The sequence below is a fragment of the Homo sapiens genome, chromosome 4 (assembly GCF_000001405.40).
Source record: "Homo sapiens chromosome 4, GRCh38.p14 Primary Assembly".
In the NCBI taxonomy this organism is placed as follows: Eukaryota; Metazoa; Chordata; class Mammalia; order Primates; family Hominidae; genus Homo; species Homo sapiens.
In genome coordinates this window covers 81376213-81391384 of record NC_000004.12, presented here as the reverse complement: position 1 = coordinate 81391384, position 15172 = coordinate 81376213, and positions in this window count along the sequence as shown.

The window sequence follows — 15172 nt, the reverse complement described above, 5'->3', positions numbered from 1 at the left end:
AAGAAAAGTAGGAGGGTTAAGGGAAGAACAGCACATTCATGCTAATATATTTCTACTGAGAACATTTTTTGGCCTCACTAACATATCCATCCTCTCATTGACGCCTTTCTGTTTCCATGAGTCTCTGACTTTGGTTTTGTGTTGAGTAGATTTGGGAAAAGCCTAATGTGTCCAGGTCAAACACATAGGATTCCATGAACTAAAAAATAAATTACTTCTCAAATTATTTTACTATAGCCCACTTGGCCATCATGAAGCCATTGATGGGATTATTTGTACTTGGGTGATCTTCTGCTTAGTTATGAATATCTACATGGATACAAAGTAGAAACAACTCCTTAAAATAAAAACAGGTAACATTGTAAGGCCAGTTTCCAAGAAATCATCCAATCAAAACCTCACTCTCATTTCTCCAATCAACTGTGGTTATTTGCATTTCAACTGTACTGTATTTTAACTGTGTGTCAAAATAACTTTAGCTCCCTCTTAAGAAAAAAGTTGACTCAAGGAAAGGAACTGCAGAGATAGATTTTCTCAGATGTGGAAAATAATACTATGCCATACATGCTTCATTGTCTTATTTATTTATTTATTTTTTGGTGAAGCGTTTAAAAAAAATTAAACCTGATGTCATTTCGCTCATACATACTCAGGGATGTGCCTAAAAAATTTAGATGTTTTCTCTCGTCATTGCAATGACTCACACCTAACGCAGTTAATAATTGCTTGGTATCAATCTAATACCAAGAGCATTTTCAAATTTTTCTCATTACCTAAAAAAAATTTTTTATAGTTAATTGACTTAGAGTTCAAAGTCCACACATTGTATATGAATGTATTTGGATCACTTCAGCTGGATACAATAGCTCACACCTGTAATCCTAGCTGCTCTGAAGGGAGGCTGAAGCCAGTGGATTGCTTGAGGCCAGGAGATCAAGACCAGCCTGGGCAACATAGGGAGACCCCATACCTATTAAAGAAAACAAAGAAAAATTAGCTGGGTGTGGTGGTGAGTCTATACTCCCAACTACTAGGGACGGTGAGATAGGAGAATCACCTGAGCCCAGAATCAAGGCTGCAGTGAGCTATGATCATGCCACTGCACTCCAGCATGAGTGACAAAGTGAGAATCTCTTGAAAAATCAAAAGCTCACTTTAAATCTAGAGCAGTTCCTAGACCACCTTGAACGTCCCACATTCTGGATTTGTGTATTTTCTCATTGCGTCATGTGATGTATGTGTTTTCTATCTCCTATAAACTGGATCTTAGTTTTAATTACATTAAGTTCAGCCTTCTTGGAGGGTGGGTGGGTGCACAAATACTTTATAGGTGGTGCTGTACAATTCCTATTGCATCACATCAGGAGGTATGTGATATCTGGTTGTTCTACCTACATGGTGCTTTAAGACAGGTCACACAAACTACAGCTCACATGCCAAGTCTGGCCTGCTGCCTGTTTTTGTAAATAAGGTGTTAGGGGAACACAGCCACACTCATGTCATCTACGATAATGGCAGCGATGAGTAGTTGCTACAGAGATGGTATAGTCTGCCAAGCCTAAAATATTTATCTGGTCCATTACAAAAAATATTTGTTAATTCCTGGTTTAGTGTATACATGTTATGACAAACTTATCCTCCAAATGAGGAACCAAGGGCTCTAACTGCTAAACTGACTTGCCTAAGATCACACAGTCAGTAAGTGGAGGAAACAGGGCCCACCAAGCCTTCTTTCTGTAGATCCTGTCTCTGCTCCTTACCCGATCTTCTTGCCCTCCCATTAAGCCATTCTGCTTCCCAAATACCAAGTAGGCAGGTATCAGCAAAAGTTTTATTCTATCCCTACCCTGTTCCCACGAGCATTCCAACAAAGCTAGAACTCAGATACTTGAAAGATGCACAGAGAAGGAGGTGTAATCTGATACTTTTAGCTGTAAGTGACAGCAAATTGGACTCAAACTAGCTTGAACAGGAATTTATTAACTGTCTTAACCTGAAGCCAACGGTGCTCTCAAGGTCCCATGTTCATTCTGTCTCTTTTTTCTGTCTGCTTAGTGTTGATTTCACTTCTTTATGTTAGTTCCCCTCCTGATCTCAGATGGTGGCCAAAGGGCTACATGCATTCTTGCCACACCCAGCGGGAGAGAGGGAAGAGAAACCATACTTTCAAAGATGGCATATTATCCAGGTGCAGTGGCTCGCACTTGAAATTCCAGCACTTTGGGACACCGAGGCAGATGGATCACTTGAGCCCAGGAGCTCAAGAACAGCCTGGGCAACATGGCAAAACCCCATCTCTACAAGACAGACAAACAAACAAAACCAAAATTGGTCGGGCATGGTGACGTGCTCCTGTAGTCTCCCAGCTACTCAGAGGCTGAGGTAGGAGGATTGCTTGAGCCCAGGAGATTGAGGCTGCAGTGAGCCATGATAGCACCACCGCACTCTAGCCTGGGCGACAGAGCAACACCTTGTCTCAACAACAACAACAAACAAACAAACGAAAACCAGCTGGCATATGAGTGTTTTTTCCTTTAGTCTAATTAGGCCCCCACCTCCATCTCTAGAATACTAATTGCAGCCAGGAGAACCACATACATTAATTGGCTGGGAATAATCAGGTTCATCTCCTTCTAGGGCTAGAAATGGAGTGGATATGTGAACAGCAATTAGGATTTTGTTAGAAAGGAGAGGGGGAAATGAAGGGGAAAATCAAGTTTTGGGGAAACTGTGGTTCATGGTCTTTATAGGGGCTAATTTAGACACTGTAGTCTTTTTTTTTATTTTTATTAAACTTTAAGCTCTAGGGTACATGTGTACAACTTGCAGGTTTGTTACATAGGTATACATGTGCCATATTGGTTTGCTGTACCCATTAACTCATCATTTACATTAGGTATTTCTCCTAATGCTATCCCTTCCCCTGCACCCCACCCCACAACAGGCCCCTGTGTGTGATGTTCCCTGCCCTGTGTCCAAGTATTCTCATTGTTCAATTCCCACCTAAGAGTGAGAACATGTGTTTGGTTTTCTGTCCTTGTGATAATCTGCTCACAATGATGGTTTCCAGCTTCATCCATGTCCCTAAAAAGGACATGAACTCGTCCTTTTTTATGGCTGCATAGTATTCCATGGTGTATATGTGTCACATTTTCTTAATCCAGTCCATCATTGATGGACATTTGGGTTGGTTCCAAGTCTTTGCTATTGTGAATAGTGCCGCAATAAACATACGTGTGCATGTGTCTTTATAGTAGCATGATTTATAATCTTTGGGTATATACCCAGTAATGAGATGGCTGCGTCAAATGGTATTTCTAGTTCTAGATCCTTGAGGAATTGCCACACTGTGTTCCACAATGGTTGAACTAGTTTACACTCCCACCAACAGTGTAAAAGCATTCCTACTTCTCCACAACCTCTCCAGCATCTGTTGTTTCCTGACTTTTTAATGATCACCATTCTAACTGGTGTGAGATGGTATCTCATTGTGGTTTTGATTTGTGCTTCTCTGATGGCCAGTGATGATGAGCATTTTTTCATGTGTCTATTGGCTGCATAAATGTCTTTTTTTGAGAAGTGTCTGTTCATACCCTTTGCCCACTTTTTGATGGGGTTGTTTGATTTTTCCTTGTAAATTTGTTTGAGTTCATTGTAGATTCTGGATATTAGCCCTTTGTCAGATGGGTAGATTGCAAAAATTTTCTCCCATTCTGTAGGTTGCCTGTTTACTCTGATGGTAGTTTCTTTTGCTGTGCAGAAGCTCTTTAGTTTAATTAGATCCCATTTGTCTATTTTGACTTTCGTTGCCATTGCTTTTGGTGTTTTAGTCATGAAGTCCTTGCACATGCCCATGTCCTGAATGGTATTGCCTAGGTTTTCTTCTAGGGTTTTTATGGTTTTAGGTCTAACATTTAAGTCTTTAATCCATCTTGAATTAATTTTTGTGTAAGGCGTGAGGAAGGGATCCAGTTTCAGCTTTCTACATATGGCTAGCCAGTTTTCCTAGCACCATTTATTAAATAGGGAATCCTCTCCCCATTTCTTGTTTTTGTCAGGTTTGTCAAAGATCAGATGGTTGTAGATGTGTGGTGTTATTTCTAAGGCCTCTGTTCGGTTCCATTGGTCTATCTCTCTGTTTTGGTACCAGTACCATGCTGTTTTGGTTACTGTAGCCTTGTAGTATAGTTTGAAGTCAGGTAGCATGATGCCTCCAGCTTTGTTCTTTTTGCTTAGGATTGTCTTGGCAATGTGGGCTCTTTTTTGGTTCCATATGAACTTTAAAGAAGTTTTTTCCAATTCTGTGAAGAAAGTCATTGGTAGCTTGATGGGGATGGCATTGAATCTACAAATTACCTTGGGCAGTATGGCCATTTTCATGATATTGATTCTTCCTATCCATGAGCATGGAATGTTCTTCCATTTGCTTGTGTCTTCTTTTATTTTGTTGAGCAGTGGTTTGTAGTTCCCCTTGAAGAGGGTCCTTCACATCCCTTGTAAGTTGTATTCCTAGGTATTTTATTCTCTTTGTAGCAATTGCAAATGAGAGTTCACTTATTATTTGGCTCTGTGTTTGTCTGTTATTGGTGTATAGGAATGCTTGTGATTTTTGCACATTGATTTTTTATCCTGAGACTTTGCTGAAGTTGCTTATCAGCTTAAGGAGATTTTGGGCTGAGATGATGGGGTTTTCTAGGTATACAGTCATGTCATCTGCAAACAGGGACAATTTGACTTCCTCTTTTCCTAATTGAATACACTTTATTTCTTTCTCTTGCCTGATTGTGCTGGCCAGAGCTTCCAACACTGTGTTGAATAGGAGTGGTGAGAGAGGGCATCTCTGTCTTGTGTCAGTTTTCAAAGGGAATGCTTCCAGTTTTTGCCCATTTGGTATGATATTAGCTGTGAGTTTGTTATGAATAGCTCTTATCATTTTGAGATATGTTCCATCAATACCTAGTTAATTGAGAGTTTTTAGCATGAAGGGCTGTTGAATTTTGTCAAAGGCCTTTTCTGCATCTATTGAGATAATCAAGTGGTTTTTGTCATTGGTTCTGTCTATGTGATGGATTATGATTATTGATTTGTGTATCTTGAACCAGTCTTGCATCCCAGGGATGAAGCCGACTTGATCATGGTGGATAAGCTTTTTGATGTGCTGCTGTATTTGGTTTGCCAATATTTTATTGAGGATTTTCACATCAATGTTCATCAGGGATATTGGTTTAAAATTCTTTTTTTGTTGTGTCTCTGCCAGGCTTTGGTATCAGGATGATGCTAGCCTCATAAAATGAGTTACGGAGGATTCCGTCTTTTTCTATTCATTGGAATAGTTTCAGATGGTATGGTACCAGCTCCTCTTTGTACCTCTGGTAGAATTCGGCTGTGAATCTGGTCCTGGACTTTTTTTGGTTGGTAGGCTATTAATTATTGCCTCAGTTTCGGAGCATGTGATTGGTCTATTCAGGGATTCAACTTCTTTCTGGTTTAGCCTTGGGAGGGTGTATATGTCCAGGAATTTATCCATTTCTTCTAGATTTTCTAGTTTATTTGTGTAGAGGTGTTTATAGTATTCTCCGATGGTAGTTTGTATTTCTGTGGGATTGGTGGTGATATCCCCTTTATCATTTTTATTGCATCTATTTGATTCTTCTCTCTTTTATTCTTTATTAGTCTTGCTACCAGTCTATCAATTTCATTGATCTTTTCAAAAAACCAGCTCCTGGATTCACTGATTTTTTGAAGGGTTTTTTTATGTCTCTATCTCCTTCAGTTCTGCTCTGACCTTAGTTATTTCTTGCCTTCCGCTAGCTTTTGAATGTGTTTGCTCTTGCTTCTCTAGTTCTTTTAATTGTGATGTTAGGGTGTCGATTTTAGATCTTTCCTGCTTTCTCTTGTGGGCATTTAGTGCTATAAATTTCCCTCTAAACACTGCTTTAAATGTGTCCCAGAGATTCTGGTACCTTGTGTCTTTGTTCTCATTGCTTTCAAAGAACATCTTTATTTCTGCCTTCATTTCGTTATTTACCCAGTAGTCATTCAGGAGCAGGTTGTTCAATTTCCATGTAGTTGTGCAGTTTTGAGTGAGTTTCTAATCCTGAGTTCTAATTTGATTGCACCATGGTCTGAGAGACAGTGTGTTGTGATTTCTGTTGTTTTACATTTGCTGAGGAGTGCTTTGCTTCCAACTATGTGGTCAATTTTGGAATAAGTGTGATGTGGTGCTGAGAAGAATGTATATTCTGTTGATTTGGGGTGGAGAGTTCTGTAGATGTCTATTAGATCCACTTGGTGCAGAGCTGAGTTCAAGTCCTGGATATCCTTGATAACCTTCTGTCTCATTGATCTGTCTAATATTGACAGTGGGGTGTTAAAATCTCCCATTATTATAGTATGGGAGTCTATGTCTCTTTTTAGGTCTCTCAGGACTTGCTTTATGAATCTGGTGCTCCTGTATTGGGTGCATACATATTTAGGATAGTTAGCTCTTCTTGTTGAATTGATCCCTTTCCCATTATGTAATGGTCTTCTTTGTCTCTTTTGATCTTTCTTGGTTTAAAGTCTGTTTTATCAGAGACTAGGATTACAACCCCTGCTTTTTTTTGCTTTCCATTTGCTTGGTAGATCTTCGTCCATCCCTTTATTTTGAGCCTATGTGTGTCTCTGCACTTGAGATGGGTCTCCTGAATACAGCACACTGATGGGTCTTCACTCTTTATCCAATTTGCCAGTCTGTTAGACACCATATTCTTTATGGGGCTAATAAGAATATGTCCCTGCTGGGGAAAAAGAAATTCTGACTAAATCCGCTGTCTCTGATTAACTGTGTCTATTGTTTGTACACTAGGATGAGATTTGGTCTCAGGGTGGAACATTTGTAAAATATTTATATTCCATTAGCTTTTAAATCCAAGGTTATCTTCATAGAAAAATTACAAATTTCCATCAATAGGTAACATTTACATATTTTTCAAATATTTAAAATAAACTTGAAGTGAATAGCGCTTAAATGATAATGACTTATTAATTTGTTTCAGAAACTTGCAGAAGTAGATCTGCAATAATGAAGGAAAAAACAATCAGTAAGAACCAAAACTATATGAACTATAGCATGGGATTTTTAACCTAAGGAAAAAACTGTTAAAAAAGCAACTGTAATTTATTTCTGTGCTAACAAGTTCTTGACAGGTTAACTTTAGATAATTTAGATAACGGCAAGAACATTACCTTTTTTGTACACTGTGTTATAAAGTTTGGAAGGAGAAAATGTAAAGATGGATTTTTGGAAGATGTAGTTCAGTACTTCTAAAATATAACTGTCTATTATAATCACCTGGAAAGTTTTTGTTAAATTCAGAAATTCTATTTTAATTGGGGTGGGGGTGATTTTTAAAAAACTCCCCAAGTGATTCTAGTGTACAGTCAGCTTTAGTTGAATCTAAAGACAGGCCAAAAACCCTACTGAGGGATCATCCACTCTAGGCCTGGACCCCAGTGCTCAAGTCTAAACCAGAGAGACCAATTATGATATTTCATTGATTTTAAGATGTGCGCCATAGCTTCTGCCCACCTCTGCCAAATGCATCTCTGAAACTGGGACATGCTCAGCCGAGGCAGGCACTCAGACAGCCTGAGCAGGTGCAGCATCACCTGCAGCCAGAGTGGCAGCAGGTTGGAGGAAATTGCTTGGGCTAGGGTTTTTCTCCTTTAAGAAATGCAGCATCACTCTCACTTACCATACATAGATATGCACAAGAGTAATATATGAGCAAATCTGTCAAATAAATCTAGAAGGACTTTCAAAAAATGTGAATAATTCTAAGTGAGAAGAAAACTTTGATTGATAGTTTAATTGGTAACAATTTTGTCTCCTTTCTTTGTAGTATACAATGTAATCAGTAGTATCTTAGATTTGATGAAATATGGTAACAATCATCTAGTGTTACAATAAATGTATTTTTGAAAGAAAGAAACCACTATTGATCATAAATAGGCAACAATGACAACAAATCCTTACTTTTTCTCACCTTTCTCCCTGTGATAACTAGATACTTAGTCATTTGAAAATCAGCTTCTTCCTTCTCCCATGACAAAGTTATCTATGCATTCCAATCAACAGTGAGGACTCTAGTCAGCTAGTTGTTTTTTCCAATCCTGCTTTTAATATCCGTTGTGAACATTGATTTTAAGCAGAGTCATTAGCTGCCTTTATGGTATGACATGAAGGGTGCTGAGAAGCTTGTCCTGGAAAAACACACTATTTTTCATCAATGCCCAGACTTTAATTGATAGAAATTTTTTTTACTTTGGGTTATTATCATTAGATACTGTTCAATACATGCCTGATAGAGGTAGTACATTAAACACCTCTTTCCCCACTAATAACTTAGTAAATTAGTTTATCACAACATTTTAAGTGTGTCGTTATGGGAGGACAGTATTTGATACAGAAGGGAAAAGAAGAAAGAGTAGAGAGATATGTCCAAGGCAGTGGTATGTTGGTATGTGATTAACAATGGGCTGGACTCCAGGAAGGAAAAAGCCCTGATGTGTAGCACTTGCCAATTTCCATGGTGTAAATATCTCCACTATTACTGATTTCAAGCTACGAACCTCTGGTTACTGAATGTGAAGTTGAGAAGTTGAGAGCAGAAACAAAGGAAAACCTGGGCAAATTCTTTGAGCAAATAAAGATAGTAGAGGGCAGATGAGAGGAGAAAAGACCCTGTGGCTTCCTCAGGTCTGTGGAGGGTAGCAATGTTAAAAGGATGTGCCTGCTGATTAAGGATGGATCCTTAATCTACTCCTATTTCCCAGTTTTTCAAGTATAATGGAACAGAATTGTAGTCCCACTCTTCTTTATTATTTTTAATTAAAAATTTATTGGGTGATTTTATGACTTTATAGTTCAATCAAGAGTGGTTTATTTCTCCAACAAATATCGGTAGAATCAAGCTGTAAATCTGTGTATCTTGGGTGTTTAGCTACCTCTACACACATGGAAGACATACACGTTTTTGGCTTTTGATTTAATAAATTAGAAGATTCTCATATTTGTGGTCTTCTTGAATATGTGTATAAACACACACATATTATTATTTGTGGAAAAATTATTATTTTCCACATATTATTAGTGGAAAAAAGGAAGATGCCCAATTAAAATTACATGCAAAGAAAACATTTTGTCATTTTAATTTTATTATTGGTTATTTTTTAAAACAGAAAATCTGTCATGATGTGCTCTCTGAAAAAGAATCATTGGGAGCCTTATGTGGTTCTAAACATTTCACACTTTTGAGAAAAATAATGAAATAGTAATTTAAATAGGCATTTTAGACTTTAAAGAAAGAACAAACTTTTCCTAGAAAGAGACACAGGTTAAAGGCTTCCTTTGAGAATTTTTTTCCCTTCTAATTAGTTATGTATTGATGTTATGTGTCTCATGTTAATTACCTAATTTCTCCCCAGAGATCAAGAACTCAGCCATGAAAAATCAGGATGCTTTGCTCAGGAAGAAGCTGAAACAATTTTGTTTATAATGATATGGTGGATATAAAAGATGTAATGAAATGGAAATCTTAAGTAGGAGATGTAGAGAAATATAATATAATCTCTTTATCATTTTTAAGCAAAAAAGGAATTTTTCAATCTATAAATGTATAATTCTACAGGAAACTCACATATGGGCTCAGATTCAGAAAAGTAATTGTCAGGTTTTTCTTACTTAATACTTTTCCCCATCTTACTTACTCTCCTCCTCTTTCCCAGTCCGTAAGGACCTCTGTCTCAGGAGAGGCTCATGGATGGACAGTAAATGAATGCTCTTCTGAACTTTTGCTTTAACTATATGGATGTGTTTATGGAACTCTCATTTGGTGATGGTAGCCTATAAAATGTTTGTTGAACTTGGAACAGTGTCAAGATTTTTCGATGGGTCTCAAAAATAATTGTAATAGTTTCCCCTACCCCCTTGTTTTTTGTTTTTTAAACAAAAATCTCATGCCCCTACAGCTATTTAAAGGAAAAAAACACAGAAGGAAACAAAACCCAGATTTGGTACCTGAAATATAAATTCTGGAAGAATTTCTAATTTGCAGGTTGTATATCTTGGTTGAGCAAATCTTTGCTTAGCTAATCAAGTGCAGAAAATTGGACTAGGAATTTTCTGAAGATAGTTTATAAATAAATAACACTGATAGTATCAGAGACAGATGGCTATCTTTCTCTAAATATATCCTCTAAGGATAAATTTAAATATATATATACACATGTATATTTCCAGTCATATGAGTATTTTTCTATGAAATATTCTCATTGATTAGTTTTTAGCAAGCATTCCATAGCCTCGATTTACAAACAGGATGACTTCCTTGTCCTCCATTTGGTATTTTTTGCCATTTTTTTCTAAATTTAAATAAGTTATTTGTAACTATATGAATATGCATGCTTTATGACAATGAAGCAAAACCTTCCACATGCTGGCTGACTTCTAAATTCCCAAGGTTTCATGGCACTATGGTGGGTGAGAAATACACAAACTTCACAAGAAGGGCAAAGTTGAACATTCCGGTTTACTTTTTTGAGCTGGGGTTGGTGTTTTATATTTTTCTTTCTTCCCAGGCCACCTCTTACTGTTTTGTGTAGTTAATAGCCAGCTCAGCCACAAGGTCCATATGCCTCCAAAGTGTTTATGGGGCACCTGCACCTGAGAATTTGATAAGGAATTCCTGCTGTGATAAAAAGTGCTCTTAGGTCAAATGCGTAGTGGTAAAATTAATTGTTTTGAGACTGTGTGTCTCAAGCCATCTATAAAAGTTGTATTATTTACTGCCTAGGATACCACCTGTGTAATGCAGCTGTCTCAACCATTTTATGCACCCATACACACTCCCCCACATGCATACACAGAAAGAAAGAGAAAGGGAGGAAGAGAGAAATTATATTCAAGGGGTGATTTTATTTGGGTTAAAGCCGTACTCTCTAGAGGTTTTGTTTTTCACCTAATTGAAAACATCTACAATACTCCTGCCAAAGAACCCCGAACACAGGCCAACCTGGAGATGGCGGCCTTCCCGTCTCCAAACTATGAATCATTGATGATCTTGCCTCAAATCTAGGCCCAAGTATAAGGTTCTGCTTATCAAACAAAAATAGTAGCAAACAGCAGAATCATTGAAGTGACAGCTACTTGATTCTCAGCCAAAGAATTGTCATTAGGCTTTTAGTCCTCAAATGTTTCATGGAAATAGCTGAAGTGAGGCTAATTTTAAATATCTCAGGGAGCTCAGTGAAAGGTCTTTCCTACTTGTACTCTCTGGTGCATGCTTTATATGGCCATTTGACATTTTCTTGCCCTCTAGACCCCACCTCCATTTGTTAAAATAGATTCAACAGTGACAAAGCCCTGTTTGGTTAATGTATCACTGTTAATTTATCAGTCTCAGTTAATTTACCTCTGAGGTCAAGTTTCTTTCACAGGACACAAATAAGGAGAGCAAAGATCATTCTGAGGCTAAAAGAAAGGAGACTGAGGGGCCTGGCACGGTGGCTCATGCCTGTAATGCTAGCACTTTGGGAAGCTGAGGTGGGCAGATCACTTGAGGTCAGGAGTTCGAGACCAGCCTGGCCAACATGGTGAAACCCCGTCTCTACTAAAAATACACACATAAAAAAATTAGCTAAGTGTGGCACCTGTAATCCCAACTACTTGGGAGGCTGAGGTAGGAGAATTGCTTGAACCCGGGAGGCCGAGGTTGCAGTGAGGCGAGATCACTGCACTCCAGCCTGGGCAACAGAGTGAGTGACTCAAAAACAAAAAAAGAAAAAAGAAAAAAAGAAAAAAGGGAATAGGCTGCTGATTTTTTAGCTTAGATCAGGGAGGGCTTGGTGAACTACAGCCCACAGGACAAATCCTATTCTTTGCCTATTTTTCTAAATAAAGTTTTATTGGAAGACAGCCATGCTCACTTAGTAAAATAGTGCCTATAGCTGGTTTCACACTATAACACTATAAGAGCAGAGTTGAGAAATCATGGCAGAGCTAATGCAGTTCACAAAACCAAAGATATTTACTTTCTGTGCCACTATACAAAGTGCCAACCCCTGATCACTAGAGGTTAGTGTTTAAGGACTTTCCTGGGTTTTGCTATCAAGCAAGTAAGTGCCCAAGACCCCTGAGCCTGTGGAATGAAGCATGAAACAAAGCTCCTGGAAATGATGGCAACAGGGCAAATTTGGCTTTTGCACACATCAGTGGTGAGCTGTCTGTCAGAACTCACAAACCTGGATGTACAGCTGACCCTTGAACGACACAGGTTTGAACTACACAGGTCCACCTGTATGTGAATTTTTTTCAAGAAATATACTGAGAAAATTTTTGGAGATTTGTGAGAATTTGAAAAAACTTGCAAACCACGTAATGTAGAAATATTGAAAACACTAAGAAAAAGGTATGTTATAAATGCATGAAATATATATATAGATACTAGTCTCTTTATGATTTACTACCATAAAATATACATGAATCTATTATAAAAAGTTAAAATGTATCAAAATGTGTGCACACAAACATGAACCATACATGGCACCATTTTCAGTTGCGAGAAATGCAAACAAAAGTTAAAATGCACTAGGAAATCATAACTGCATAAAAGTTACTGTAGTACACACTGTACCACTGTAATAATTTCCTAGCCACCTCCTGTTGCTATTGCAGTGAGCTCAAGTGTTACAAGTATCTGCTTACAACATCATGTGATTCTAATTATCTCTGAGTGAGCAGTTCATCTCTTCAGTAAATTGCATATCACAGTAAAAAATGATTTTTCAAGGTTCTTGCCTATTTTTCACTGGGTTTAGTGCAATACCATAAACATTGAATAACACTATGAGACCCATATGAAGTGCCTCTAGTGATGCTGGAAGTGCTCCCAGGAAGCAGAGAAAAGTCATAGCATTACAAGAAAAAGTTGAATTGCTTGATATGTACTGTAGATTGAGGACTGCAGCTGCGGTTGCCTGCCATTTCAGACGTGATTAAACTTTCAGACACGACTTAAACTTTCCATAACAATAGACACCATACAGTACTGTAAAGCTATTTTCTCTTCTTTATGACTTTTTAAGTAACACTTTCTTTTCCCTAACCTACTTTAAGAATACAATGCATAGTATGGTGTTATAAAATATAACATGCAAAATATATGTAAATTGGTTGTGTATGTTATGGTAAGGCTTTTTGTCAGCAGTAGGCTATTAGTAGTTAAGTTTTTGGAGAGCCAAAAGGTATACACAGTTTTTTTTTCTTTTAGATGGAGTCTCGGTCTGTCACCCAGGCTGGAGTGCAGTGGTGCGATCTCGGCTCACTGCAGCCTCTGCCTCCCAGGTTCAAGCGATATACACAGATTTTTTTATTGTGCATGTGGTCAGTGTCCCTAATCCCAGAGGTTTTTAAGGTTCAACTGTATCTAAATGTGGAGACGATAATTTTGGTGAAATTTCCTAAACGTCATTGCAAAGAACATTAGTGCCATACAAAAGATTGATAATTTCATGAAAAAGTGACTACCTAGGGGAAATAAATGTATTATATGCTTGGGCTAAGCAAAGTTGGAGAGTTTTCTTCACTCTAAGTCTTATCATTCACTAATGTATAATTATAGTTATTCGCTGATATATAATTATAATTTACTAATGTGGAACATAAGAGGAGTGTAATGTGCATGTTACAGTATTTCTCAATCTTACTTAGCAATAGAAACATATTCTTTTGGATCATCTAGAAATATCTTATGGGCTACATCTTGTCATGGAATACTATCTAGAAATCCTCTCCAGGGTCTCAGCACGCCTGAAATCTGTTTCCATTTTTCAATATTAATTGCTCCAGTTCTCTTTCCAGCTGGCAATGCTGATATTTGCTGGGTACACAACAGTACAGTCTGTCCAGTTGTTAAATGTCTTGAAATACTTCTTTACCAGCTGGCAAACAATAACTTCTCTGAACCATTAAATACACCCTATATCCCTGGCTAGCCTGGTTTCTCTGCTGAGATCTTCCAGACATCTGCACATTCTAATGAATAAAGGTTATCACTTGGCAGGGGTGTGGAGATGGGAGGAGGGGGTTCAGGATTATTCTCCAGCACTATCAGAGCCTGTGTCCTGTCTGGTCACTGCTCATACCCTACAGGTTTTTAACTATTTTGGATAAAACTCTCCAAATTCTAGGATGAGTGCATGTATTTTCTAGCCCACTATAAGTGTCTTGCCTGTAATGATACAGATGCCACAGCATCACTGAAGCCAAACAGATTATGTGGCACAACAAGTTTAGAAACATCAGGACTATTGTGCAAGTGCAAATGGGGAATTACAAGTTTAGAGCAAAGGCCTAAATTCTCACATAAGCACCTTATCTCTCCCAGCTGAGTAAATATAGCTTAATGCAAGTGACTAGTGATGACATCAGATATACCTTGAGTATTCTCTAAAAGGCAATAAAAAAGAGAAAAGATTGGTATTTCAATGACGATTAGCAACAAATTTGCGATGCATTTGAGAAGTGTTTGATCCATATTAATAAGTCAAGAAGTGTTGGTCTAATGGAGGACTCAGATAAATAAATAGTCATGGTAATATGATAGATAAATGCTGTGATGGGGAGAAGCACAGGGCTGAGCACCTCAACTGGACTTGGGCAGGGCAAATTAACCATGAAATATTTTTTGGAGGAGGAGACATGTGAGCCAAGTCGGAAAGTATGAGACGTTAGGATGAGAAGCAGAATGGAAGAGAGCATTTCCAATAGAGGGAACAGGGTATTCTGACTTCAGCTTTGCTTCTCATGTTTTTTCCTCTTCAATTCCTGTCTCAGAACTCAGTTCAAATTATTATATTTGTATATTTGTCTTATCTCTTCTATTACAGACACTATGACTTTTTGAGGGCAGAGTCTTGATCATCTTTTTATACACTCACTTTGTCCATTATATAAGCTTAAAATAAATTTGTAAAATTAAGTTGGGAAAAGTGTACATTTGTATTACTTAGGGTTGTCCCGAGAAACAGAATAGGAAGATGCCTGAATAGAAGCCATCATCGGTAGTCCCTCGCAACATGAACACTAATTGAATAACTACCAGCACAAAAAAACACACCTTCATAAGAACCA